The sequence below is a fragment of the Homo sapiens genome, chromosome 16 (genome assembly GCF_000001405.40).
Source record: "Homo sapiens chromosome 16, GRCh38.p14 Primary Assembly".
NCBI classification, from domain to species: Eukaryota; Metazoa; Chordata; class Mammalia; order Primates; family Hominidae; genus Homo; species Homo sapiens.
The window spans coordinates 30344952-30370669 of record NC_000016.10 but is presented as its reverse complement, the minus strand read 5'-3'; the positions used below and the strand labels follow the sequence as shown (position 1 = coordinate 30370669).

Here is a 25718-nt window from a genome sequence, read left to right as displayed (position 1 = left end):
TTCTCCGTTTCCTCTTTCCAGATGACCCACCCCTTTTTCGCCTCCAGCCCCGCCCACGATTCCAACGATTGGCAGAAGCCCAGTTCTCTCTCTCCCACTATTCGTCCAAATCCTCTGACTAGGCGGGAGAAAAAAGGAGCGCGATGAGCCAGTCCGCGCGCAGGCGTGGAACGCCGAGACGCTGGCGCGGAGCCGGCTCTGCGGCGTGTGCGCAGGCGCGAGGTCGGCGGCTCGCCCCCAAGCAGGAGGGAGGGGGCGGTGGCGAGAGCGCGCGAGGGGGTGAGAGGGCTCGAGAGAGACCCCGGCGCGCGGCGCCCCCCGACCCCTGCCCCGCCTCTGCGCGCCCAGCGGCCGCTCCGCCCCCGGCGCGCGCCGAGCCGCGCCCTTCGCCCTCTCCCCTTTCTCGGCTGGCCTCGCCGGGAGGCCCGAGGGGCGGCGCCTTCTGCGGCCTCCCCGGCGGGGGGATGTGAGGGGCGGCCCGCGGCCATGGAGACGGGCACGGCGCCCCTGGTGGCCCCGCCGCGCCGTCATGGCGCCCCCGCGGCCCCCTCGCCGCCGCCCCGGGGTTCCCGGGCCGGGCCCGTCGTGGTGGTGGCTCCGGGACCTCCAGTGACTACGGCCACTTCGGCCCCCGTCACCCTGGTGGCCCCCGGGGAGGCGCGGCCCGCCTGGGTCCCGGGGTCGGCCGAGACCTCTGCTCCGGCCCCGGCCCCAGCCCCGGCCCCAGCCCCGGCTGTCACGGGCAGCACGGTGGTGGTGCTGACCCTGGAGGCCTCGCCCGAAGCCCCAAAGCCGCAGCTCCCCTCCGGCCCGGAATCCCCAGAGCCCGCGGCAGTGGCTGGAGTTGAGACATCGAGGGCTCTGGCCGCAGGGGCAGACTCGCCGAAGACAGAGGAGGCTCGACCCTCACCCGCCCCAGGACCAGGGACCCCCACCGGGACCCCTACCAGGACCCCTTCCAGAACGGCTCCTGGTGCCCTGACCGCCAAACCCCCGCTTGCCCCCAAGCCGGGAACCACAGTGGCCTCAGGAGTGACTGCACGGAGTGCATCAGGACAAGTGACAGGTGGGCATGGAGCTGCCGCAGCAACATCAGCATCAGCAGGACAGGCTCCTGAGGACCCCTCAGGCCCTGGCACAGGCCCCTCTGGGACTTGTGAGGCTCCGGTAGCTGTCGTGACCGTGACCCCAGCTCCGGAGCCTGCTGAAAACTCTCAAGACCTGGGCTCCACGTCCAGCCTGGGACCTGGCATCTCTGGGCCTCGAGGGCAGGCCCCGGACACGCTGAGTTACTTGGACTCCGTGAGCCTCATGTCTGGGACCTTGGAGTCCTTGGCGGATGATGTGAGCTCCATGGGCTCAGATTCAGAGATAAACGGGCTGGCCCTGCGCAAGACGGACAAGTATGGCTTCCTTGGGGGCAGCCAGTACTCGGGCAGCCTGTGAGTACCAGTGGGCACCCAGCGGGACCGCCTCGGGGAAGCAAAGGTTGGGGGAGGGCGAAACGAAAACGATACACTTTGCCCAGACTCTGGCAGCCCAGCCTCCTCTGAGGATCCACGGGGTGATCAGCGCGAGCTGCCGTGTCTTGAGCATCCTGAGGTGCCTGTGACATTGGCATGTTAGTGGAGTTTCAGACCAGGGGTCAAGAGGTCTGGGTTTAAGCCTTGCCTTTGATGGGTTGTGTGCCCTTGAGCTAGTGGCTTCCCCATTTCCGTGCCTCAGTTTTTTCCTCTATAAAGTGGATTGAATGAGATGATACCTGAGGTCATCCCTGCTCTTTGATGGGGAACTCCAGCTACAGGCCGGATATTCTGGAGGGTTGGTTGGGCGAGGGTTCTGGTAGAGACCCTTGGTCCCTTAGGGTGGATAGCCTGGGAGGGGTGCAGGCATCTCCCTTCCCCCATAGCCCTAGGTCCCAGGGATGGAGTAGAGAGGTGGGGAAGTCTGGCTGATGGAAGGGAGACTGTGCAGTCAGGATCCCGCTGTGAAACAGGGCAGTCTTGTATCTGCACTGAAGTAAAGGGTGGGAGAGGCCTCTTCCCCATTTCCTCATCTCCCCAGCCGGGCTGACTCTTTCCTAGTTCTCTCCGGGGCCTGAGTCACTCCCGAGGTAGGGGGTGATTGCCTCTGACTTCTTCCTTCCCCCTCTCTGGATCCTGCCCGTTGTTCCTGTGCCCCTTTGACCTGCTGGGCCAGTCAGCCTACAGCATCTCCTGGGCCCCCAGGTGTCAGGCCCCAGGTGCTAAGGATAAAATAGTCCTTTCAAGGAGCCAATCATCTGGAGAGAAAGAAAAGTACTTAAACAGTTGGTTTCAATAGAAGACCTCGGGTTTAGCCTAGAGATCTCCAGAGGGTTTCCTGAGGCACCTAGAGCAGGGAGTCAGCTGAACCTGCTCTGAATCGTGGAGAGTAAGTAGGATTGATTTAGTCTTGGCTATGTGTGCAGGGATCGGGGGAAGCCCTGTGGGAGAGTTTTCCAGGCAGGGTTCATGAGCCAACCAAAATCAGAAAGCCTTTGATTGGGTACCAACATTCAGGGTCTTACATGGGAAAGCAACTGAGGTTTGACCCTGGTGCTTTCTAGGCACAAGGACTCGGTTTATAGATGAAGAAACAATTAGTGCAGTTGAGTGAATTGTCCCCCTCAAATAATCTGGATCTGTGTGACCAGTGGCTCTCTCCTCAATAGCAGGCTGTCCTGAGGAACTCGGGCTGAACTTAGTTTGGGGGAGTCCCTCTTGTGTGCCAGGCACTATGCCGGGTGCTGTTTCTTTGCTTTGTAGCTTTGTCCCTGTAAGATCAGCTTCAATGCCAGAGAACTCTACCTCTTGGGCAAGACTGACTGTAATCCATGTTACTTTCGCAGCGTTCAGTGGCTCGCTGCTGTCCACAGGATGAAGTTCAGGCTCTTTGGCCTGCGCATAGCCTCTCTGGTCACCTTTGCCACCATTCCTCACCGGGTGCTTTGCGCTGTGGTCCTGCTGAACTAGTTGTAGTCCTTTCCCCTTCATATTCAGGCTGTGCACCTGCCAAGGGTGCTCTTCTCCCCTTTCTTTGCCTGCTAAGTTCTACTCATTTCTTCATGGCTTACCTCAGATGTCCCCTCCTCCAGGAAGCTTCCCTGATACCCACTGCCCCCACTCCAATTAGATGTGTCTTTGGTGCATCTTTGTCATTGCATTTCCCATGCTGTATTACAGTTATCGCTCCTCTTAGGCTGTAACCTTCTTGAGGGCCAGAAGGTATCTTACTCTTCCCAGCCCTTGGTAGAGTTTGTAACCGACTTATGATAGAAATTAATGAGAGATGGTCTCTCTGTTTAAGGAGCTTCTAGAACAAAGGAAACTAACATTTAACGAGCCCCTTCTATTTAACAGATGTTTATATGCAGTTTCTCAATAGTCTTCTCATAACTTTGTGATGTAGGTGGTGGTGGTGTTTTTTTTGTTTTGTTTTGTTTTGTTTTGTTTTTGAGACGGAGTTTTGCTCTTGTTGCCCAGGCTGGAGTGCAATGGTGCGATCTTGGCTCACTGCAACCTCCGCCTCCCAGGTTCAAGCAATTCTCCTGCCTCAGCCTCCCGAGTATCGGATTGAAGACATGTGCCACCACACCCGGCTGAGTTTGCATTTTTAGTAGAGACAGGGTTTCACCATGTTGGCCAGGCTGGTCTTGAACTCTCGACCTCAGGTGATCCGCTTCTCACTTCTGACACCTCCGCCTCCCAAAGTGCTGGGATTACAGGCATGAGCCACCATGCCCGGCCCGGTGGTGTCTTTTTATAATTGAGGAAGGGACTCAGGTCATCCCTTGACAAAGCTCCCTATTGTCTCAGAGACAGAACTGAAATTTGAACTTAGGTAGGTTTGATTCTTAAGACCCAAGCTTTCTTCCGTTCTACTCACCTCCTAGTACTGGCTCCTACAAGTAAGTGTTTGAAGAATGATGGGGCACCATGAGTATGAACCTCTGACAGAACAGTGAGTAAATAGGGCAGGGAGTCCTTTATTTGCCTGGGGTGATTTCAGGGAGGAGGAGGTAGAGTAAATTGCAGGTGACCCAAGGGATCTTAAACATTTGATAGGACAAAACTCAGATGGTTGCGTCTAAAGAGACAGAAGTACATTTGTTCTGTATTTTATTTTATTATTATTATTTTTTTTTTTGATGGAGTCTCGCTCTGTCATCTGGGCTGGAGTGCAGTGGCACAATCTTGACTCACTGCACCCTCCGCCTCCCGGGTTCAAGCGATTCTCATGCCTCAGCTTCGCGAATAGCTGGGATTTCAAGCACGTGCCACCATGCCTGGCTAATTTTTGTATTTATAGTAGAGACAGGGTTTTACCATGTTGTCCAGGCTGGTCTCAAACTCCTGACCTCAAGTCATCCGCCTGCCTCGGCCTCCCAAAGTGCTGGGATTACAGGTGGGAGCCACCATGCCCGGCCTATTTTATTATTTTATTTTTATTTTTTGTAGAGACAGAATCTCGTTATGTTGCCCAGGCTGGCCTTGAACTCCTGGCCTCAAGTGATCCTCTTGCCTCTGCTTCCCAAAGTGCTGGGATTACAGGCATGAGCTACCATGCCTGGCCCTCTAGGGTATTTTATTTTATGGATAGTAAGGTATTACTTAATGGGCACTTCGCTGTGTGTTATTTCGTATAAACCCCTTCGGGTAGATATTGTTACTTTCTCCACCTTACAGATGAGGAAATTGGGCTTAGCAAAATTAAGTGATTTGCCCAAGGTCACACAATGAATAAATGGTAAAGCTAGGACGTGGATCCAGATCTAATGCAAAATGTGGCTTTAAAATACTCCATACTCTCTCCCCAGATTTGGATGTGTCAGAAGTGAGATTTAAATATGACCTCTGAATAGAGATCCATCAGGGAAGGAAGCCCTTTCAGTGTGCCTTGGGATGCCCAAGTGGCCAGACATCCTGATGTTTGGCAGCTCACAGACTATCCAGTTTCTCGTTTGAGCTTGGGGAGGTGGCTTGCCTCAGTTCCCCCTGCAATGCAGGTTTTACACTATTGCTACTGACCCCTTCCGTGCTCCCCCGACCCTGCAGAGAGAGCTCCATTCCCGTGGACGTGGCTCGGCAGCGGGAGCTCAAATGGCTGGACATGTTCAGTAACTGGGATAAGTGGCTGTCACGGCGATTCCAGAAGGTTTGAGGGCTGAATGGTGGGCAGGGCAATGCACAAGTTGGGAGGGGTAGCATGTGCTCCAGGGAAGCCCAGGAAGCCGATAATATCTGCCCTCTGGACCACACTGGGGATAGATGGGCCCTGGCGGGGGAATGGCTTTAAAAATAGAAGTCCAGGCCAGGTCCAGTGGAATCAAGCCTATGGGATGTCGGAGGAGTATCCAGGGAGTTTGTGGACTGCTGGGGAAAGGTTGGAGGCTGTGCCAGCCCTTGAAGCTGTCCCCCTCCTGCCACTTTGCCTTAGGTGAAGCTGCGCTGCCGGAAGGGGATCCCCTCCTCTCTCAGAGCCAAAGCCTGGCAGTACCTGTCTAATAGCAAGGAACTTCTGGAGCAGAACCCAGGAAAGTTTGAGGTGCGTGCAGCTCCAAGGTGTGGGGACATGTGGCCCTGTCTGTGCAAGGGGTATCAGTTCCCCCAGATGCTGAGGTAATCCCCACTGTCCCACTGCAGGAGCTGGAACGGGCTCCTGGGGACCCCAAGTGGCTGGATGTGATTGAGAAGGACCTGCACCGCCAGTTCCCTTTCCACGAGATGTTTGCTGCTCGAGGGGGGCATGGGTAAGGTGGCCGGACCATGGGGGTCAGTCAGCAAACATTGGCTGGAGGATCCACCTTTTAGCTAGGTGGATACAAGACTGAGTCGAAAGTGGTTTTTGCCCTTCAGGACTTGTAGAAGAGCTATCTGTAATGGACTAAGTGTCAAGCCATGTCAAAGGAACTGTCCTGGGAAGGAGACTTGACTCAGGTTGTGTGTGGGGGCACGTCATGGGCTCCTTGAAGAGCTTGCATTTGGGCTGGGTTTTGGAGGGGTGGGAGCTACAGCAGTGGGGCAGGGTTTTCCTGCCTGGGGGTTATGGAAAAGATCACCAGGGACCCTTAAATGCTATGCCAAAGCATTTGGAATTTTGTTCTATAGACCAAGCTTCCTCCAGATGTCAGTATATACTCTTCTCTAGTAGTATGCAAGATGATCATCTTAGGGAGTTCTCTGATGGACTTTTTTTTGTTTTGTTTTTTGAGATGGAGTCTCCCTTTGTTGCCCAGGCTGGAGTGCAGTGGTGTGATCTCAGCCCACTGCAACCTCTGCCTCCCAGGTACAAGCAATTCTCATGCCTCAGCCTCCTGAGTAGCTGGGATTATAGGTGCACACCATCGTGCCCAGCTCATTTTTGTGTTTTTAGCAGAGACGGGGTTTCACTGTGTTGGCCAGACTGGTCTTGAACTCCCAACCTCAAGTGATCTGCCCGCCTTGACCTCCCAAAATGCTGGGATTACAGGTGTGAGCCACTGCGCCTGGCCAGATGGACTTTTTGTTCTTTCTTTTCTTTTTTTTTTTTTTTGAGATGGAGTTTTGCTCTTGTTGCCGAGGCAGGAGTACAGTGGCACGATCTTGGCTCACTGCAACCTCTGCCTCCTGGATTCAGGTGATTCTCCTGCCTCAGTCTCCCAAGTAGCTGGCATTACAGGTGCGCGCCACCACACCCGGCTAATTTTTGTATTTTTAGTAGAGACGGGGGTTTCACCATGTTAGCCAGGCTGGTCTCGAACTCCTGACCTTAGGTGATTCACCTGCCTTGGCCTCCCAAAGTGCTAGCGTTATAGGCGTGAGCCAACACGGTCAGCCGGACAATTTTTTAAATCAATAATTCATCCTTTAGCAAATATTTATTGAGCATCTGCTATCTACCAGGCACTGTCTAGTCACAAATGATTGCAGTGAACAAAAAACCAAAAACTCCTCTCATGGTGTTTATATTTTAGTGGGGACAAACAATAAATCAGGGAAAGGAAAGTATATTGTATGTGAAATGATGGTAAGCATTAAGGAGGAGGTTATTTTTATTTTTACTTTTATTTGTTTTTTGATAGAGATGGGTTTTCATCATGTTGCCCCGGCTGGTCTTGAACTCCTGGGCTCAAGCGATCCGCCTGCCTTAGCCTCCTTAAGTGCTGGGATTACAGGCGTGAGCCACTGTGCCTGGGCCTAAAGAGGAGTTTAAAGCAAGAGGGAAATAGAGAATGTGAGTGGGGATGGGGTTACAAATGACTTGATCCTGCTTATGTTTTAAAAGGGTCATTCTGGCTACCATGCTGAGAACAGACTATAGGGAGACAAGGACAGAAACGGACCAGTTAGGAGACTTCCTGTAATCCAGGAGAGGGTGAGAGCTAGACCAGCATGGTAGCAGCGGGAGTATGGGGAGAAGTGGTTGGATTCTGGATATATTTTGAAGGTCGAGTCAAAGGGATTTGCCAATGGATTAGACATGCAGTGTGAGAGGAGAGAGGGGAGTAGGGTTTTTGGCCTGAGAAATGAGAAGAATGGAGTTGCTGTTTACTAATACAGATGGGGTAAAGGTAGCTGTGGGGGGCATATCAGGAGCTCAGTTTTGGAACGTTTATTTTTTATTTTTGTTTTTTGAGACGGAGTCTCGCTCTGTCGCCCAGGCTGGAATGCAGTGGCGCCACCTCGGGTCACTGCAACCTCCACCTCCCAGGTTCAAGCAATTCTCCTGCCTCAGCCTCCTGAGTAGCTGGAATTACAGGCACCCGCCACCATGCCTAGCTAAGTTTTGTATTTTTATTAGAGACGGGGTTTTGCCATGTTGGCCAGGCTGGTCTCGAACTCCTGACCTCAAGTGATCTGCTCACCTCGGCCTCCAAAGTGCTGGGATTACAGGTGTGAGTCTCCATGCCCGGCAGGGAACATTAAGTTTAAAATGCTTATTGGACCTCTAGATAGAGATGTAAGTTCAGTGTACAGTATACACAAACCTGGATTTCAGGGCAGATGTTTAAACTGGAGATAAATTGGAAATTAAGAGTCGTCAACTTATAGAGGGACTAAATCTTACCCACGAGACTGGATGAAGTCACAAAGGCAACAAGTGTAGATACAAAAGGAATTGATGCGAAATGTCCAACAATTGAGCCCTGCAGCTCCAATAGTTTGAGAATGGGAAGATGAGAAAGAGCCGGTAAAGGAGACTGGAATGAGAAGCTAGAGGTAGGAGGAGGACCAGGAGCATGTGATTGGGAGCAAAATGTAGTGGGGTTTCAAGCATCAGCTGTGTGAAATGCTGCTGAAGGGTCCAATAAAGTCCAGCCTGAAAATTGACCTCTGGATTGAACACTGGAGAAGTCATTAGTGACCATGTTAAAAACAGTTTTGTGGCTGGGTGCGGTGGCTCACACCTGTAATCCCAGCACTTTGGGAGGCCAAGGCGGGCAGATCATCTGAGGTCAGGAGTTCAAGACCAGCCTGGCCAACATGGTGAAACCCCGTCTCTACTAAAAATATTTTTAAAAGGCCAGGCGTGGTGGCCCACGCCTGTAATCCCAGCACATTGGGAGGCCGAGGCGGGCAGATCATGAGGTCAGGAGTTCGAGACCATCCTGGCTAACACGGTGAAACTCCCGTCTCTACTAAAAAAATACAAAAAATTAGCCAGGCATGGTGGCGGGCGCCTGTAGTTGCAGCTACTCGGGAGGCTGAGGCAGGAGAATGGTGTGAACCCGGGAGGCAGAGCTTGCAGTGAGCCGAGATCGCGCCACTGCACTCCAGCCTGGGCGACAGAGGAGATTCTGTCTCAAAAAAAAAAAAATTAGCTTGGTGTGGTGGCAGGTGCCTGTAATCCCAGTTACTCGGGAGGCTGAGGCAGAGGTTTCAGTGAGCCGAGATCACGCCATTGCACTCCAGCCTGGGCAACAAGAGCGAAACTCTGTCTCAAAGGAAAAAAAAAACAGTTTTGTGGCTGGGCGCGGTGGCTCACGCCTGTAATCCCAGCACTTTGGGAGGCTGAGGCAGGCGGATCACCTGAGGTCAGGAGTTTGAGACCAGCCTGACCAATATGGAGAAACCCCGTCTCTACTAAAAATACAAAATTAGCCGGGCATTTTATAGGGAGGCTGAGGCAGGAGAATTGCGTGAACCTGGGAGACAGAGTTTGCCGTGAGCTGGGATCGCACCATTGCACTGCAGCCTGGGCAACGAGAGTGAAACTGTCTCGAAACAAACAAAAACAGTTTTGTGTGGAGCAGTGGGTGAAACCCTAACTGGAGAATGGGAGAAAAGAAATTGAAGACAGTGAGTCTATAGGTAAGGAAAGAAACAGTGTGGTATTTGGAGGGAAGAGAGGGGTAAAGAGACTTTTTTTTGTTTGTTTTGAGACAGAGCTTGACTGTCGCCCAGGCTGGAGTGCAGTGGTGTGATCTTGGCTCACTGCAACCTCTGCCTCCCAGATTCCCAGATTCAAGTGATTCTCCCACCTCAGCCTCCCAAGTACCTGGGATCACAGGTGCCCGCCACCACACCTGGCTAATTTTTGTATTTTTGGTAGAGACGGGGTTTTGCCATGTTGGCCAGGCTGGTCTCGAACTCCTGACCTCAGGTGATCCACCCACCTTGGCCTCCCAAAGTGCTAGGATTACAGGCGCGAGCTACTGCGCCTGGTGAAGAGACTTTTTTTTTTTTTAAACTCAAATAACAGCATGTGGGTATGCTTGTGGGAACGGTGGAGAGAGAAATTGATAGTGCAGGAGCAAGGGGAGGGTTGTTGGAGTGGTGGCCTGTACACGCGAGAGGGGATGGGATCCTGGGCCCAAGTGGAAAGGAAGTGCTTGCCAGGATCACAGACTCTTCACCCATAGCAACAGGGAGAAGGCAGGGACACGGAAGCAGGCAGGTGGGTGATGGGTGTGGGTGCTTGTGGAAGTTACATATTTATTTTAATATGCATTAGGTAAAATAACCATATCAAACCTGTCATTTCGTGGATGCTTTTGCAAAGTGGAGAAAAAATGTCAACTAAATAGTAGGGTGGTATGCAGATAAAATACAAATGAAGATCACACTTGAATGCCTGGAGTTTTGGGAAAAGCTATTCTGGGAAGTGGTCAGGAGGAGGATGTGTGAGACTGGAGGCAGGGAGAGGATCTGGGAGGTCATTTTTTATGGGCAAGAAATGGAGGTCTGAGCTGCGAATGGCTGTGGAGGTGGAGAGGAGCAGGCAGGAATGGAATTCAGGGTGCAGCGCTGCTTAGGCTTGGAGTAAGGGGCTCTTTTCTGATGTGGGGCTGAGTGAATAGAAGTCCTGGACACGGCAGTGGGGCACCCTCAAGAAGAGCAGATCTAGGGTACAGATTTTATTCTTTTGGATGCAGAGACAGGAGAAAGGGCTGAGGCACAGCTGGCTTCCAAGCCTTCCCCAAGAACCATGAAATCCAGTGAGACCGATAAGGCAGGCCCTGCCCTGGGGAGCTACTGCTTTGGGGTGACAAAGACATTTAGTGCTAGAGGAGGGCTGATGCTGCAGCTGTGGAAAGCTTCCTGGAGAAAATGACCTGGAAGGTTTCTGGGATGTGGCTGAGGAAGGAGGGCGAGGGTGCAGCCTGTGCTGGGATGGCCAGGAGCATGTGGAGTATGTAGCCAAAGGCGGAGCCCCGGGGCCTGGAGTGCTCTGCTGTGGGCTGAGCCTTTAGCTGAAGCTCGCTCAGCAGGACTGGGCAGGTGGATGGAGGAGCCTGGTGATAAACTCTGGGACGAATCTGGAACTGGGTTTGGGGACAGAGCTCTCAGCCCGTGACTGCCCTCACAGTCTTCCCCAACCCCCACAGGCAACAGGACCTGTACCGAATCCTGAAGGCCTACACCATCTACCGGCCTGACGAGGGTTACTGCCAGGCCCAGGCCCCCGTGGCTGCGGTCCTGCTCATGCACATGCCTGCGGAGGTCAGCGCCCTGGTCCTGGGCCGGGAGGGGCAGGGGGGATCTCACCCTACAGTGGTGATGGGGGAGCTCCCTGCTCCCTGCTTCTCAGGCCCCACCCCTCCTCCTTGTTCTTGCTCTTCTCAGCAAGCCTTTTGGTGCCTGGTGCAGATCTGCGACAAGTACCTCCCAGGTTACTACAGTGCAGGGCTGGTGAGTGTCTGGAGGCTGGGTGCATCCGGGGCTGTGGCGTTTCCTCCAGGCTGCAGGCAGGTCCTTGCCTTGCCCCACCCTGGCCTTCCCGGCTTCTGCCCACAGGGCCGGCCAGTTCTCCCCTGATGGGGGCACAGCTGACTTGGCCCTCTTCTCATGGCTTGTCCCACCTGCAGGAGGCCATTCAGCTGGACGGGGAGATCTTTTTTGCACTCCTGCGCCGGGCCTCCCCGCTGGCGCATCGCCACCTGCGGCGGCAGCGCATTGACCCTGTGCTCTACATGACGGAGTGGTTCATGTGCATCTTCGCCCGCACCCTGCCCTGGGCGTCGGTGCTGCGTGTCTGGGACATGTTTTTCTGTGAAGGTACTTCTGTGGCCCTCCAGGCCATGAGGGGCTGGGGTTTCTGTGGTGGCTACCAGGGGTTCTGTCATATTTCTGGTGGTCCATGGACAAAAGGTACTTGTTGGGTGGAGGTTTCACCATAAGCAGCTGGGGGCTGGAGAAACAGGCCTGATTTTAGTTCTGCCACCAACCCAGAGCCTGCTCTCCCTGCCAAGATCCTGAGACTGATAGCAGCTCATGTACTTTCACAGGGCCTCAGTTTCCTCATCTGAGATTGGCAGTAGATGGGGATGGGGGCTGTGAGTCTATCCTGATCAGGACAGGCTGAGATCTTGGGTCTGACCACCCCATGCTCTCTACTCTCCACCCCTGCAGGCGTTAAGATCATCTTCCGGGTGGCCCTGGTCCTGCTGCGCCACACGCTGGGCTCAGTGGAGAAGCTGCGCTCCTGCCAAGGCATGTATGAGACCATGGAGCAGCTGCGTAACCTGCCCCAGCAGTGCATGCAGGAAGACTTCCTGGTGCATGAGGTAGGCCTGTGCCCTCAACGCAGCCCCTGCCTGCCTCAGCCCGCTCCCACCCTCAGCTCCATTCTGGTACGCATTTCCTCTCTGTGCAGGTGACCAATCTGCCGGTGACAGAAGCACTGATTGAGCGGGAGAATGCAGCCCAGCTCAAGAAGTGGCGGGAAACGCGGGGGGAGCTGCAGTATCGGCCCTCACGGCGACTGCATGGGTCCCGGGCCATCCACGAGGAGCGCCGGCGGCAACAGCCACCCCTGGGCCCCTCCTCCAGCCTCCTCAGCCTCCCTGGCCTCAAGAGCCGAGGCTCCCGGGCAGCTGGAGGGGCCCCGTCCCCGCCGCCCCCCGTCCGCAGAGCCAGTGCTGGGCCTGCCCCAGGGCCTGTGGTCACTGCTGAGGGACTGCATCCATCCCTTCCCTCACCCACTGGCAATAGCACCCCCTTGGGTTCCAGCAAGGAGACCCGGAAGCAGGAGAAGGAGCGGCAGAAACAGGAGAAGGAGCGGCAGAAACAGGAGAAGGAGCGGGAGAAGGAGCGGCAGAAGCAGGAGAAAGAGCGAGAGAAGCAGGAAAAGGAGCGAGAGAAGCAGGAGAAGGAGCGGCAGAAGCAGGAGAAGAAGGCTCAAGGCCGGAAGCTTTCGCTGCGTCGAAAGGCAGATGGGCCCCCAGGCCCCCATGATGGTGGGGACAGGCCCTCAGCCGAGGCCCGGCAGGACGCTTACTTCTGACCTCTGCCCTGGGGCTGGACTGCATGGCCCCCCTCTTTCCCTCAGCCAAGAACAGGCCTGGCCCAAGGTGCCACCCCCTAGCACCTTGTCAGGCTGTCCCTTGCTGGGGAAAGTGGCTTGGTTCCCCATCTCCTCGCCAGCTGCTGATCCCTACACGGGCAGGACAGATGGGCAGCTGCAAATGAGTCTGGAGCCTCTCATCTCCCATGAGGCTCAGCTGGGGTCTCTGTCGCTCCTGCCCCAGTTCCCTCTGGGTCCCCTCCTAGGTGCTGTCCTGAATGGCCCGTTGTCATCCCAGGGGTGACTCCTGGTGATGGGAGTCAGCAGTTTCAGATTCTTACACTCCATAGCTCCCCTTACCATGAGGTGGAGCTGGCTTCCTTTTCCCTGTCTTCAGCCCTCCCTGTCTCCCCCACTTCCTGGCCAGGGCTCTCATTCTGGACCTGTGTTGTAATTGTGTACAGAGGATGGCGTTGGCCTGGGGTGGGGGTGCTCGCTTTGTCTTCTGTCCTTTGGTTCTCCTTCCATAATGCTCCTGTACCCAGTTTATTTAAGGGGACATGCACTGGAATAGGAAATGTCCCCCATCTCCCTTCCTGCACCCTGCTGTGCTCCCTCCAAACCCACCTTGCTCTGTGTTCTCAGGCCCCCCTGCTTTTGTCTCACCAGGACCCATACCTTTCACCTTGTTCCCTTCCACCCCTCCAGTTAGTCCCTATCTGGGTAAGGGTCTTCCCTTGAGCTCCAGGGGGTGGAACCCAATGTTTACATTCTCTTCTGTCTCTGCCCCCACCCCATGCAGCGCTTTGAGGAATTGGAAAAGAACCTGCTGTTGTACCTGGGCCTGTTTTCTGCCTTGTTATTTGATGAGGGGGGGATGGGGTAAGGACGAGGGAGGGAGGGACAGAGCCAGGACCTGGGTCTCTGTTGAAGCAGTCTGCTGTCTTGGCAAGTAGGTACCTCTTAGCTTTGGGTCCATCTCTCAGTCACTCATCAGACACTGGTTGAGCTCCTGCTCCATCTTTGCCTGGGATCTGCTGTCTCCATTGTCACTGGCTGCCTGGAGCTCTCTATGTACCACGTGCAGCACCCGGATCTCCTTCCCAAAGTGCTCATGCAACTCCTGGAAGCTGGAGGGGGTACTCACAGTGGCTAGAAAGCCACTGTCCTCTGGGGATGAGATGGGTTCTTGGCCAGTTGCCTGGCACAGCTCCCAGTATTGGGTTTTGGTGGGGGGGGAGGGGGGACAGCAGCCCAGCCAGCCGCCTCCAGCTCGCGCCAGCCAGTGCCCACAGCCAAGTCTCCAGCTCTTCCTGGGTTTCTGCAGCCAGCTTGTAGGCCCGCCCACCTGTGCCCTCCACCCCAGGGGTCAGGATGGTAAAGGCATAGGGTTCTGCAGCCTTAAGGTGTGGTTCCACCTGGCAGTTCTCTAACAGGATGAGGCTCAGGGGTGCATGGTCGGTCTAGTGTTCTAGGTAGAAGAGGAGGTTTCCTCGGAGGATGAACCATCGGCGCTGGTAGCTGAGGTTTCGGGTCCCCTTCTTTAGCAGAATGCCTTCCTGGTCTGGGGCCTGTGTTCTGTAACCATGGAAGAAACTGAGCACGGACTTTCTGTGCAGTTTTCATCGTGATCCAATATGGGAGGAAACCCCTAGGGAGAGAGAAGTGGCCCATCTAGTTGCCTGGGGGAAGAGTAGGGGAACTCTCATGCTGTCCTCGTCTGGCTTCAGCACGTGCTGCCTGCGCACAGTCTTGGCTTAGGGGGATGCAGGCTCCGAGTGTCAAGAGCTAGGGGTCCCAGCACAGGGGCTGATCCCCGCTACCTCCCCAATTCCCCCTTCTGCTTGGGCCACATTCCGCTACCTGGGCAGGAGTTGCTAGGCCCTGTTTGCTCAGGGGGGCTTCATGCTGCAGAGAGGCACTGTTGCCCTTTTCCAGGCCTACCTGAGAGCAGGGCACAAGGGGCTTCTGGCCTGAGTACTGGCGCCAATGCCACCTCTCCAGTGATGGCTCTCCCACCTCAGAAACCAGGAACTCGCCCAGGGTATGGGCGTGGGACAAATTATTTCCCCTGGGTCCTAAAGGGAGGTGTGTTCAGAAAGTGCCCGGAGAGCCGTCCAGGGGCCCCAGGCTGGCCATCGGGAGAGTCAGGCTTCCCCTCGGAGAGGCAAGGCTGCACCTCTCAGGCTAGGAGGGCTGACCACTGGACCATAGGAATGGGAAGGCAGGATTTCTAACGAGACGGTAGGGGCGCTGAGCCCTTAGCCCTGGGGGAAGGGTGACTTGAACCCAGGACAGGAAAACGGAGCAGCAACCCACTGACCCTGCTCGGACTTTGCCCCTCCATCCTGACCCTGGGCGGCCCTTTAAGCAGATGCGCTCCAGTTTTTCTCCAGAGCCTCTACTGCTTGAATGACGGACTCGAAGCTACTTCCGGCCATTTCTCACGCCCAGTCAGAGTCCAGGAATTCTTAGGTTCCCTCTTCTCACCATTGTCCTCCCACGTGACTGACGTCACTTCTGGCGGGAGAGAGGGTGGAGGCGTCTTCGCTCGCTTATCGCATACTTCCGCCCGCTCTTCCAGTTAGTTCCCTAACCCGAGTGAAGCCACTTCCGGGCTTCCCGGGCGCCTTCCGCAGTCCTCTTCCGGGTGATGGCGGCCGGGTGCCCCGGATGTAGCCCTGGCGCAAGCATCTCTTCTTTTTTCCACCTCGCCTTCCGCGGATTCCCAGGTGAGTGCGCGAGGGTGGGACCGCCCGAATCCCCGTGGCCCTCTAAGTTGTACACAGCCCGGGACAGTTGGGGCTCACCACACGGAATTGGGAGTTCGGAGCAGGGAGGAACGGGGTGGCGAGAGCGCCAGGTCCTGGGTCTGCCGGGGCCCGGCGAGCTCCGAGAGAGCCAGGGTAGAGAGCGGGGGTCAGCCCGTGGAGCCGGTGGCGCGCAGACTGCGGGGGCTGGAGTTGGGGGCGGTCACGTGGTGAAGCCTGTCTCCTTTCAGCCAGGGTCGGGGGATCCAGAGGGTCCGCTCCTCCGTCCCCGCCCCGTTTAACTCGCGGATGCTAGACCCAAGTCCTGGAGGCCTCCTGGCTGCCAGCTTCCTTTCGGCCCCTGCTTTTGTGCTCCCTCCGCTCCCAAACTGTACCTGTCACAGACCAGGAAAAATGTTTGCTGTGCTGCGTCTGTTGGCGAGTCCCCTCCTCACCCGGTTCCCTTCCTCTGCATCCTTTCCTCAGCTTGAGAAACACCTCTTTGCCCCGTCATGCCAAAGAGGAAAGTGACCTTCCAAGGCGTGGGAGATGAGGAGGATGAGGATGAAATCATTGTCCCCAAGAAGAAGGTGAGGGGGCCAGACTGCTTTGTGTGGGGGAAAGAGGAGCTAGAAGCCTGAAGAGGAAGAAAGCTGGCGGGAGAGGGGCGGGGCGGGCAGGCAGAGAAAAGCCTAGTTTTTTCAGGTTCTCTGAGGAATGGGTTGGGAGCGTCTTTAGTGTGGCTCCTGAAATATTTGGGGAAGTAGTCGAGATCCTGAAATATTTGGGGAATATTTGGGTCCAGATCCGGAAGTATTTGGGGAGGTAGCCAGTAACCTGCATTTCTCAACTTTCTGGCTCCTGCTCACAGCTGGTGGACCCTGTGGCTGGGTCAGGGGGTCCTGGGAGCCGCTTTAAAGGCAAACACTCTTTGGATAGCGATGAGGAGGAGGATGATGATGATGGGGGGTCCAGCAAATATGACATCTTGGCCTCAGAGGATGTAGAAGGTAAGCTGTACCCAAGAATACACTCTGCTGGAAAAACAAGTAGGGGCCTCTGGTGGTGTGGAGCGAGGGAGGCTCCGGTCTCTTTTTTCCATGCCTGGAAAAGGGCACCTGTGTCTTTGGTGCAGGTCAGGAGGCAGCCACACTCCCCAGCGAGGGGGGTGTTCGGATCACACCCTTTAACCTGCAGGAGGAGATGGAGGAAGGCCACTTTGATGCCGATGGCAACTACTTCCTGAACCGGGATGCTCAGATCCGAGACAGCTGGCTGGACAACATTGACTGGGTGCGGCCCAGGGGCTGGCGTGGCTGGGGCCTGGGAGTGGCAGATGCTGGGCCTGCTCCCGTGGCAGTTGGTGGGAAATCACTCCATCTTCCCATTACAGGTGAAGATCCGGGAGCGGCCACCTGGCCAGCGCCAGGCCTCAGACTCGGAGGAGGAGGACAGCTTGGGCCAGACCTCAATGAGTGCCCAAGCCCTCTTGGAGGGACTTTTGGAGCTCCTATTGCCTAGAGAGACAGTGGCTGGGGCACTGAGGCGTCTGGGGGCCCGAGGAGGAGGCAAAGGGAGAAAGGGGCCTGGGCAACCCAGTTCCCCTCAGCGCCTGGACCGGCTCTCCGGGTTGGCCGACCAGATGGTGGCCCGGGGCAACCTTGGTGTGTACCAGGAAACAAGGGAACGGTTGGCTATGCGTCTGAAGGGTTTGGGGTGTCAGACCCTAGGACCCCACAATCCCACACCCCCACCCTCCCTGGACATGTTCGCTGAGGAGTTGGCGGAGGAGGAACTGGAGACCCCAACCCCTACCCAGAGAGGAGGTGAGCTTGGAGGACAGAGGAGGGGGCAGTGGGTAGGAAGTGAGACACTGGAGGCCAAATGGCTTTGCCTGTTATTTTAGAAGCAGAGTCGCGGGGAGATGGTCTGGTGGATGTGATGTGGGAATATAAGTGGGAGAACACGGGGGATGCCGAGCTGTATGGGCCCTTCACCAGCGCCCAGATGCAGGTGAGCTGCTTTCTCCCTCCTCCTGCCTTGTCCCTGCTTCCCCCACTCCTGTCAGTTGTTCCCCAGCTCTGCCCTCTCCTTGCAGACCTGGGTGAGTGAAGGCTACTTCCCGGACGGTGTTTATTGCCGGAAGCTGGACCCCCCTGGTGGTCAGTTCTACAACTCCAAACGCATTGACTTTGACCTCTACACCTGAGCCTGCTGGGGGCCCAGTTTGGTGGGCCCTTCTTTCCTGGACTTTGTGGAGGAGGCACCAAGTGTCTCAGGCAGCGAGGAAATTGGAGGCCATTTTTCAGTCAATTTCCCTTTCCCAATAAAAGCCTTTAGTTGTGTACTGGGGCCTTGGCTGTGCTGATGGCCAGAAGCCAGGGGCCTTCTCCACAGTCCCTTTGGACTTGTCTTGGTCCCTGAGTACTCCCATGAAGATCCTTCTTGGAGGTGCCTGTCAGGTATCCTGTGGCCTCCCTGCCTGGACTCTGCTTGCCGTGTAAACACCCCCAACTGCGCTGCTCTGTGCTCCTCTCCCAGGTTTCTTGTTCGATTCCTCTTAGGTCTTTGGCTTTCAGGACCTCAGATTCTTTATCCTTGTAGCCACCAGAGGACAGAGCCCCAGAAGTGGATGTTTTAGGCCCAGAAGGACCAGGGCATCGAGAAGACATTGGGACCCTGTTGGGGGTGAGCATGGAACCCTCTTACTCTCGCTTCACCCTCTCAAGCTCCTTAGATGCTGGGCAGAAGTGGGATGAGTGGCCCAAGACCGAGATCCCTAAGGTTCTGAGAGCCAGTGTCTTCCCTAATCTGGCTTTCCTCTATCCTTGCCGTCGTTCCCACAGCCCTTCAGTGAAGTGCAAACTCAGTGGCCAAGTGTGGGCCAAGTGTGCATTGTACTGGCACAGAGAGGGGCAGTGACTCACTGGAGATCACAGGAATCAAAGGGCTGGCCCAGACCCAGTGGGCTCCTTTCCCAGACCTTTCTTGGCACAAAGCCTTTGCTGCCTGGCCTTGGAGGCCCTGCGGCCTACATTCTCTGGACCCCACTATGTGCCTGGCACAGGGCTAGTGCCTTGAGGAAACTGAGGTAGCTGGGTTGGTCCCCTTCCAGGAATTCAGAGTCTGGTGGCAGGGGCATGGGAAATAGACAGATGTAATTCTATAGCCTGGGCCTGGCACCCTCCACCTCCACGCCCCACCAGCATTGCCTTACGCCTCCCTTGCCCCACGTTAGATGGTTTCTTCCGGTTTTGCACTCTGGCTGCCCCTTGGAGTCTCCTGGGGAGCTGTAATATCTCTTTGGAGATTCAGATTGAGCTGGTCTAGGTTGTGGCCCAGGCATTGGGCATTTTGGAAGCCCCCAGGTGTTTTCAGCTTGCAGCCAGGCCGAGAGAGAGCCCCTGAGTCAGATCCCCATGGTTTAGGCACACCTAGCGGGAGGGGTGGCTCCTGGACCCCACCGTGGTTGGAGAGCTGAGCATGTGTGTGGCTTTAGTGGGGTCTGTTAGTTATGGGGGTCTGGGCACTGGAGCTGCAGGACACTTGGGATCCCAGGTCAGAAAGGGCCAGATGAGCAACTAGGAAAGACTTGGGGGCCAGGGCGGAGTGGGGTCACCTGACACTCTTGTGAGGCCCCTTCTAGTGCCTGCTCACACCGGAATTTCATTCACTCCAAGAAGCCATCAGGGGTAAGATACCTTCCTTTAAACGTCACTAAGAAAGAAGAGGCCTGCCGGTGACACAGTAAGATGCCATTGATCTAAAGATGCGTCTTGATTTCAGAAAGGTCCGGAAGTGGAAAGCAGGTTTCAGGGCTGCTGAGGTACAGGGTTCTCCTGTAGGCCCCAGGGATGGTCTCAGGGGTGCTGAGTGCGTGCGTGGTAAATGGATGGAGCCCAGGGGCGCCTCCTGCCAGTGTCCTCCAGGCACTCAAACCTAGCCCTTCTGAAGCCGACCTCACGTGACCTCACAGCCCCTCCTGAAGGCGCCTCACTGATGACGGTGGGTGGAATAACAGCCCCCAGAGATGTCCAGGTTTGGAACCCCAGGACGTGGGAAAGTGTTACCTTGCGTGGCAAAAGGGACCCGGCGCCTGTGCTTCAGTTCAGGATTTCGTGGTGGGGAGATGACCGTGGATGGTTGAGGTGGGCCCTGAGTAATCATGGGGGCCCTTATAAGGGAAGGGGAGTCACGAGGGTCTGCGCATGAAGCAAGGAAGCTTCTGGCTGTGAAGATGGCAAGAAGGCCTGGGGCCAGGCGATGAGGTGGCCCCTGGAGGAGCTGGAAAAGGCATTGGATTCTGCCCCAGAGCCTCCGTGGAGAAACAAAGCCGCACTGACAAGACTTCAGCCTGGTGAAAACCATTTTGGACTCCTGACCTCTAGAACTGTAAGATAATAAATTGGTGTGGTTTTCAACCTCTCAGTTTGTGGTAATTTGTTAACAGCCCCAATAGGAAACAACTACTCATGCATCCAGGGGACACCTCATGAACCACCCGATCTCACTAAGTTCTCCCTTCCTGTGACCACATTGCTATTTCAGGTCCCTGTCAGCACTTATAAATGTGGCTGCCTCTTGCTAGGGTGGCCTTTATAGCACATCTGAAACAGCACTCCTTGGCTTTTTGTTTGTTTTGTTTTTAGAGACAGGGTGTTACTGTCACCCAGTAGGGGTGACAACATCTCTCTACACTGGAGTACAGTGGTGTGATCATAGCTCAATGCAGCCTTGAACTCCTGGGTTCAAGTGATCCTCCCACCTCAGCCTCCTAAGTAGCTGGGTCTACAGGAGTGCACCACTTCACCTGGCTAATTAAGAAACTTTTTTTTGTAGTGGCAGGGTCTTGCTATGTTGCCCAGGCTAGTCTCAAACTCCTGCACTCAACCGATCCTCCCAGATCAGCCTCCCAAAGTGCTGGGGTTACAGGTGTGGGCTACTGTGCCCAGTGTGCTTTTCTTTTTTAGTTGTGTGTGTATATATGCAGTTTATATGTATACAGTTTGTAAGAGATACATATAGATAGATAGATAGATATAAACTTTTTGTTTGAGTAAGTTTTTTTTTTTTTTTTTTTGAGATGGAGTTTCGCTCTTGTTGCCGGGCTGGAGTGCAAATGGCACGATCTCAGCTCACTGCAACCTCTGCCTCCTGGGTTCAAGGGATTGTCCTGCCTCAGTCTCCCGAGTAGCTGGGGCTACAGGCACCTGCCACCACGCTTCAGTACCCTTCAGTGGTTTTTTGTATATTCACAGGGTTGTGCAACCATCACCACAGTCTAATTTTAAAACCTTTTTTTCCTACCATGAAAGAAACCTGACCCATGAGTAGCCCCTTCTCACTACTCCCCACCTTTCCTCACCCCCCAGCCCTGGCAACCACCCATCTACTTCCTGCCTCTAGATTTGCTTCTTCTGGGCATTGAAGATAAATGGAATCATATATGTGGTCTTCTGGGTCTGGCTTCTACTTGGCCCTATGCTTTCAAGTTCAGCCATGTGGATATCTTCATCTATGTTTATTGTTTTTTTTTTTTTGAGACGGAGTCTTGCTCTGTCACCCAGGCTGGAGTGCAGTGGCACGATCTTGGCTCACTGCAACCTCTGCTTGCTGGGTTCAAGCGATTCTGCTTCAGCCTCCCAAGTAGCTGGGATTACAGGCCTGTGCTACCACACCTAGCTAGTTTTTGTATTTTTAGTAGAGACTAGGTCTCACCATGTTGGCCAGGCTGGTCTCAAACCCCTGACCTCAGGTGATCCGCTCCCCTTGGCTTCCCAAAGTGCTGTGATTACAGGCGTGAACCACCGTGCCCAGTCCTTTTGTTTATTGTTGAATAACAGTGTATTGTGTGGATGTACGGTACATTAATACTAATTCAACTTCACCCTTTTTTAAAATTTTTCTTACTAATTCAACTTCACACTTTTTTTTTATTTTTCTAGTTTTCCCCTAATGTCCTTTTCTGCTTCAGGATCCCTTGTGACACCACATTATATTTAGTTGTCACATCTACTTAGCTTCCTCAGCCTGACAGCTTCTCAGGCTTCACCTTTGTTGATCTTGACAGTTTCAAGGAGTGCTGGTTTGTATTTTGTAGAATATTCTTTTTTTTTTTGGCGGACGGGGGGCGGGGGACGGAGTCTCTCTCTGTCACCCAGGCTGGAGTGCAATGGTGTGATCTCTGCTCACTGCAACCTCCACCTCCCCGGTTCAAGTGATTCTCCTGCCTCAGCCTCCCGAGTTACTGGGATTATAGGCGTGTGCCACCATGCCCAGCTAATTTTTGTATTTTTAGTAGAGATGGGGTTTCACCACGTTGGTCAGGCTGGTCTCAAACTCCTGACCTCAGGTGATCTACCTGCCTCGGCCTCCCAAAGTGCTGGGATTACAGGTGTGTGCCACCGCACCTGGCCTCAGAATATTCTTTTTAAAAACAACTTTATAAATTTAAAATGTATATATATATATATATATATACACACACATTATATATATATACATGCATATATATATACACATATACACGCATATATATATACGCATTATATATACGCATTATATATATATATGTTTTTTTTTTTTTTTCTAGAGATGAGGTCTCACTATGTTGCCCAGGCTGTTCTTGAACTCCCAGGCTCAAGTGATCCTCTCGCCTCAGCCTCTTACAGTGCTGAGATTACAGGTGTGAGCCTCCACACCCAGTTGAATATTCCTAAAATTTGGGTTTGTCTGATCCTTTTTCTCATGAATAGGTTTGGTTTATGGAGTTTAGGGAGGAAGACCACAGAGGTGAAGTTCTTTGCTTTTCACTTAAAACTTTTTTTTTTGAGACCGGGTCTTGCTCTGTCAAGCCGGGTAGAGTGCAATGGTGCAATCATGGCTCAGTGCGGCCTCAGGCTTCTGGGTTCAAGTAATCCTGCCTCGGCCTCCCTAGTAGCTGGAGCAAGAGATGCATGGCGCCATTCCTGGCTAAATTTTTGCAATTTTTTTTTGTAGAGACGGGGTTTTACCATGTTGCTCAGGCTGGTCTCGAACTCCTGACCTCAGGTGATCCGCCCACCTCAGCCTCCTAAAGTGCTGGGATTACAGGCGTGAGCCATGGCACCCAGGCCTGAATGCAGCCTCTTGCCTTGGCCAGGTTATTCTTCAGAGAAGTAGCAGGAGTTGGGGAAGGAAGTCTCGGCACTCCTGACAGAGGCCTGGGGCGTCAGACTCTGTCCTGGGCAGCTGCTGTGGCCCTGTGAGAGACAAGGCCTGCACAGGAGTCCAGCAGGGTTCAAATAAGTGAAGGCTCCGGCTCCTCATGCCGGAGGAATGAGGGCTCTTCACGTCTCTGCCACATCTGCCACCCCTTCCCATGAGGAGTGTCTAGTTACCCAGACCCTAGAGCGGCAGTGCGGCCAGCTTGATGACGTGCTGCTAGTCGTTTCACCCAGGCTCCCAGGCAGGGGGTCAGGCTGAGCTACTTGCCTTCCGTTCTGCTCCCGGCAGGAACCAAGCCGGAGACCTGGACATGCCCAGCTCCTCCTGATGCCAAGACCTGAGAGGAGTTTCTCCCAAGGATGGATTTCAAGGTAGATGTTTTGTGTGGGGCCCAAGTAACAACAGTGCTCCGTGGAGTCAGCAGCCACTCTGAACTCCCTGTGGAGCCCAGTCCCCAGCTGCCGGGCACCCTCGGGGGTATGCTCCACAGGGGAGGGTTCAGTGGCCCCTGACCACCTACACCCCCTGCGGTGGGCCACCGCTGCCATCTCCAGTTGGCCGCTGCAGGTGGCTGCAATCCTGTCCCCGCTAGGCCCCTGTTCCCCAGGAGGCTTCTCTGTCCCTTTATGTAAGATGCCAGCTTCCCAGCTGCCCATGCAGACGTGGCACATGACCTGCCTGTAAAAGTCAGCAGCAGGCGCTGGCAGCCTCTGGTTTCCCTCTTCTTATTTATTTGTATTTATTTATTTATTTATTTATTTATTTATTTATTTATTGAGACTGAGTTTCGCTCTTGTTGCCCAGGCTGGAGTGCAGTGGCGTGATCTCGGCTCACTGCAACCTCCGCCTCCCGGGTTCAAGCAATTCTCCTTCTTCAGCCTCCTGAGTAACTGGGATTACAGGCGCCCGCCACCACGCCCAGCAGATTTTTGTAGTTTTAGTAGAGATGGGGTTTTGCCATGTTGGCCAGGGTGGTCTTGAGCTCCTGACCTCAAGTGATCCACCTGCCTTGGCCTCCCAAAGTGCTGGGATTACAGTTGTGAGCCACCGCGCTCTGCCATTTAGTTTTAGAGACAGCGTCTTGCTGTGTCGCCCAGGCTGGAGTGCAGTGGTGCGATCATAGCTCACTGCAGGCTGGACCTCCTGAGCTCAAGTGATCCTCCCACTTCAGCCCCTTTATTTTTATTTTTTATAGACGTGGGGTCTCACTATGTTGACCAGGCTGATCTCAAACTCCTGGCCTCAAATGATCCTCCTGCCTGGGTCTCCCAAAGTGTTGGGATTACAGGCATGAGCTGCCGTGCCCAGCCCAGTTTCTCCATTCTGATGCCATCGTACTTGCTCTTACTTTCCTGATACCCCACCCATCCCTATTCCCTCCCCATACAGCTGCCTTGCAGCTCTTGGTGGCTTCAGACCTTGTAGCTCCAGTGCACTCTTTGGGACACATTTTTCTGTCTTGAACACTTCACATTCCTTTGGATACAATGTGGGCATTTGCCCTCTGGCCTCAGACATTGAGACCTCTTACCTGGCCCAGCCTTCCCCGGCTTACACACTAAGCCCGTTCTCTGCCAGGCATGTAATCTCAGCTGAGGTGGGCAGATGGCTTGAGCCAAGGAGTTTGAGACCAGCTGGGCAATATAGCCAGACTCCATCTCTACACACACAAAAAGTGTATATATATATATATATTTGTATGTATACATATATACATCCTCTATTTGACAGGGGAAGAAGAGGGTGTCTGGCATTTATTAGGGACCTAAATAAGTTCAGAATATTATGTTTAATCTCCTTGACTACCTATTTAGTTACGTATCTCTCCCACTTTGCTGATGAGAAAAATGAGGCTCAGAGAGGTGACATTCAACATCACATAGCCTGAGGGTGGTAAAGCCAGGATTTTAACCGAGGTCTGTGGGACTCTAAAGTCCTGTCAAAATTTTTGGTCGAGTGTTTGCTCATATGTTTTGCCTGTTTTAAAAACTGAATTGTTTGTCTTCTGATTGACTTGTAAGAGACCTTGATCATTAGATATTCCAGATAATGAGTCCTTTGTCAGATTCTGTTTTGTGAATATTTTCTTGATCCATGACTTGTCTTTTTTTTTTTTTCTGTCATCATCTTGAAGAACAAAAGTTTTAAATCTGGTTAAAATTTAATTTGCTGACTTTTCTTTGAGACAGAATCTTGCTCTGTCTCCTAGGCTGGGGTGCAGTGGTGCAATCTCACCTCAGTGCAACCTCCGCCTCCTGGGTTCAAGCAATTCTCCTGCCTCAGCTTCCCAAGTAGCTGGCGTTAGAGGCGCACACCACCATGCCTGGCTAATTTTTGTATTTTTAGTAGAGATGGGGGAGATGGGGTTTCACCATGTTGGCCAGGCTGATCATTTTTTTTTTTTTTTTTTTTTTTTTTTGAGACAGAGTCCCACTATGTGGTCTAGGCTGGAGTGCAGTGGCGCAATCTCGGCTCACTGCAACCTCTGCCATCTGGGTTCAAGGAATTCTTGTGCCTCAGCCTCCTGAGTAGCTGGGACTACAGGCTGCCACACCCAGCTAATTTTTGTATTTTTAGTAGACCACCATGTTGGCCAGGCTGGTCTCGAACTCCTGACCTCAAGTGATTGGCCCGCTTCAGTCTCCCAAAGTGCTGGGATTACAGGCGTGAGTCGCCGCACCTGGCTTAATTTGTTGATTAAAAAATCATTTGTGCTTTTTGTGTCCTATTTAAGAAATCTTTGAGCCAGGTATAGTGGCTCATGCCTGTAATTCCAGCATTTTGGGAGGGTGAGGCAGGAGGCTCAGTTGAGTCCAGGAGTTGGAGACCAGCCTAGGCAACATAGCAAGACCCTGTCTCTACGAAAATTTAAAAAATTAGCCAGGCATGGTGGCTCGAGCCTGTAGTTCCAGCTACTCCAGAGGCTGAGGCAGGAGGATCCCTTGACCCTAGGAGTTTGAGGCTGCAGTGAGCTATGATTGTGCCACTGCACTCCATTCTGGGTGACAGACCAAGACTTTGTCTCTAAATAAATAA

The 25718-nt window shown here is 53.9% G+C and overlaps 2 protein-coding genes and 1 long non-coding RNA gene across 8 annotated transcripts, besides 10 other annotated features; 2 read left to right on the top strand and 1 right to left on the bottom strand.

Annotated features, from left to right (window-relative positions):
• On the top strand, window positions 176–13568 carry TBC1D10B (TBC1 domain family member 10B). Of its 2 annotated transcripts, NM_015527.4 has the most exons (9): window positions 176–1442; window positions 5076–5175; window positions 5458–5565; window positions 5664–5770; window positions 10829–10943; window positions 11067–11132; window positions 11309–11498; window positions 11853–12007; window positions 12097–13568. In NM_015527.4, the coding sequence occupies exons 1-9, from the start codon at window positions 487–489 to the stop codon at window positions 12724–12726; spliced, it is 2427 nt and encodes an 808-aa protein (NP_056342.3). In that variant the 5' UTR covers window positions 176–486; the 3' UTR covers window positions 12727–13568. The 2 variants fall into 2 exon arrangements, with proteins under 2 accessions (NP_056342.3, XP_011544091.1); XM_011545789.3 differs by lacking the exons at window positions 5076–5175; window positions 5458–5565; window positions 5664–5770.
• Window positions 291–580: a silencer, noted in NCBI's record as "silent region_7364". NCBI's record gives its function as "represses an Ori minimal core promoter by ATAC-STARR-seq in GM12878 lymphoblastoid cells {active_cell/tissue: GM12878}" and the evidence as "EXISTENCE:reporter gene assay evidence [ECO:0000049][PMID:35858748]".
• Window positions 671–750: a silencer, noted in NCBI's record as "silent region_7363". NCBI's record gives its function as "represses an Ori minimal core promoter by ATAC-STARR-seq in GM12878 lymphoblastoid cells {active_cell/tissue: GM12878}" and the evidence as "EXISTENCE:reporter gene assay evidence [ECO:0000049][PMID:35858748]".
• On the bottom strand, window positions 10343–15236 carry CD2BP2-DT (CD2BP2 divergent transcript). 4 transcript variants are annotated; one of them, NR_184233.1, is made up of 2 exons: window positions 15050–15236; window positions 10343–14377 (listed from the first exon to the last, which is right to left on the bottom strand). It is a non-coding gene; the product is annotated as a CD2BP2 divergent transcript (long non-coding RNA). The 4 variants fall into 4 exon arrangements; NR_184232.1 differs by having other exon boundaries at window positions 10343–14304; NR_184231.1 differs by lacking the exon at window positions 15050–15236 and adding an exon at window positions 14671–14748.
• Window positions 14445–15396: an enhancer, noted in NCBI's record as "NANOG-H3K27ac-H3K4me1 hESC enhancer chr16:30366595-30367546 (GRCh37/hg19 assembly coordinates)". NCBI's record gives its function as "activates a minimal SCP1, AML or CMV promoter by ChIP-STARR-seq in primed H9 embryonic stem cells {active_cell/tissue: H9 hESC(primed)}" and the evidence as "EXISTENCE:reporter gene assay evidence [ECO:0000049][PMID:30033119]".
• Window positions 14445–16348: a biological region, named in NCBI's record as "P300/CBP strongly-dependent group 1 enhancer GRCh37_chr16:30365679-30366878".
• Window positions 15113–16312: an enhancer, noted in NCBI's record as "P300/CBP strongly-dependent group 1 enhancer chr16:30365679-30366878 (GRCh37/hg19 assembly coordinates)". NCBI's record gives its function as "activates an origin of replication core promoter dependent on BRD2, BRD4, P300/CBP, MED14 and CDK7 cofactors, with strong dependence on P300/CBP, by STARR-seq in HCT116 cells {active_cell/tissue: HCT116}" and the evidence as "EXISTENCE:reporter gene assay evidence [ECO:0000049][PMID:35650434]".
• Window positions 15128–15422: an enhancer, noted in NCBI's record as "tiled region #48; HepG2 Activating DNase unmatched - State 1:Tss, and K562 Activating DNase unmatched - State 1:Tss". NCBI's record gives its function as "activates a minimal TATA promoter and a strong SV40 promoter by Sharpr-MPRA in HepG2 and K562 cells {active_cell/tissue: HepG2 | K562}" and the evidence as "EXISTENCE:reporter gene assay evidence [ECO:0000049][PMID:27701403]".
• Window positions 15191–15250: an enhancer, noted in NCBI's record as "active region_10698". NCBI's record gives its function as "activates an Ori minimal core promoter by ATAC-STARR-seq in GM12878 lymphoblastoid cells {active_cell/tissue: GM12878}" and the evidence as "EXISTENCE:reporter gene assay evidence [ECO:0000049][PMID:35858748]".
• Window positions 15331–15390: an enhancer, noted in NCBI's record as "active region_10697". NCBI's record gives its function as "activates an Ori minimal core promoter by ATAC-STARR-seq in GM12878 lymphoblastoid cells {active_cell/tissue: GM12878}" and the evidence as "EXISTENCE:reporter gene assay evidence [ECO:0000049][PMID:35858748]".
• On the top strand, window positions 15362–19897 carry CD2BP2 (CD2 cytoplasmic tail binding protein 2). Of its 2 annotated transcripts, NM_006110.3 has the most exons (7): window positions 15362–15458; window positions 15963–16066; window positions 16348–16486; window positions 16612–16769; window positions 16870–17302; window positions 17383–17489; window positions 17575–19897. In NM_006110.3, exons 2-7 carry the CDS (start codon window positions 15989–15991, stop codon window positions 17683–17685), a joined length of 1026 nt encoding a protein of 341 aa, NP_006101.1. In that variant the 5' UTR covers window positions 15362–15458; window positions 15963–15988; the 3' UTR covers window positions 17686–19897. The 2 variants fall into 2 exon arrangements, with proteins under 2 accessions (NP_006101.1, NP_001230575.1); NM_001243646.2 differs by lacking the exon at window positions 15362–15458 and having other exon boundaries at window positions 15736–16066.
• Window positions 15397–16348: an enhancer, noted in NCBI's record as "NANOG-H3K27ac-H3K4me1 hESC enhancer chr16:30365643-30366594 (GRCh37/hg19 assembly coordinates)". NCBI's record gives its function as "activates a minimal SCP1, AML or CMV promoter by ChIP-STARR-seq in primed H9 embryonic stem cells {active_cell/tissue: H9 hESC(primed)}" and the evidence as "EXISTENCE:reporter gene assay evidence [ECO:0000049][PMID:30033119]".
• Window positions 22439–22938: an enhancer, noted in NCBI's record as "H3K4me1 hESC enhancer chr16:30359053-30359552 (GRCh37/hg19 assembly coordinates)". NCBI's record gives its function as "activates a minimal SCP1, AML or CMV promoter by ChIP-STARR-seq in primed H9 embryonic stem cells {active_cell/tissue: H9 hESC(primed)}" and the evidence as "EXISTENCE:reporter gene assay evidence [ECO:0000049][PMID:30033119]".

What these genes read in the sequence shown, in the direction of transcription:
- CD2BP2 (NM_006110.3), top strand. Translation starts at nt 15,989, where the DNA reads ATGCCAAAGAGGAAAGTGACCTTCCAAGGCGTGGGAGATGAGGAGGAT. An exon ending in GGCTGGACAACATTGACTGG is followed by an intron (nt 16,770 to 16,869) that starts GTGCGGCCCAGG and finishes TTCCCATTACAG; the next exon opens with GTGAAGATCCGGGAGCGGCC. An exon ending in AACCCCTACCCAGAGAGGAG is followed by an intron (nt 17,303 to 17,382) that starts GTGAGCTTGGAG and finishes CTGTTATTTTAG; the next exon opens with AAGCAGAGTCGCGGGGAGAT.
- TBC1D10B (NM_015527.4), top strand. Translation starts at nt 487, where the DNA reads ATGGAGACGGGCACGGCGCCCCTGGTGGCCCCGCCGCGCCGTCATGGC. An exon ending in TCATGCACATGCCTGCGGAG is followed by an intron (nt 10,944 to 11,066) that starts GTCAGCGCCCTG and finishes TGCTCTTCTCAG; the next exon opens with CAAGCCTTTTGGTGCCTGGT. An exon ending in GGACATGTTTTTCTGTGAAG is followed by an intron (nt 11,499 to 11,852) that starts GTACTTCTGTGG and finishes CCACCCCTGCAG; the next exon opens with GCGTTAAGATCATCTTCCGG.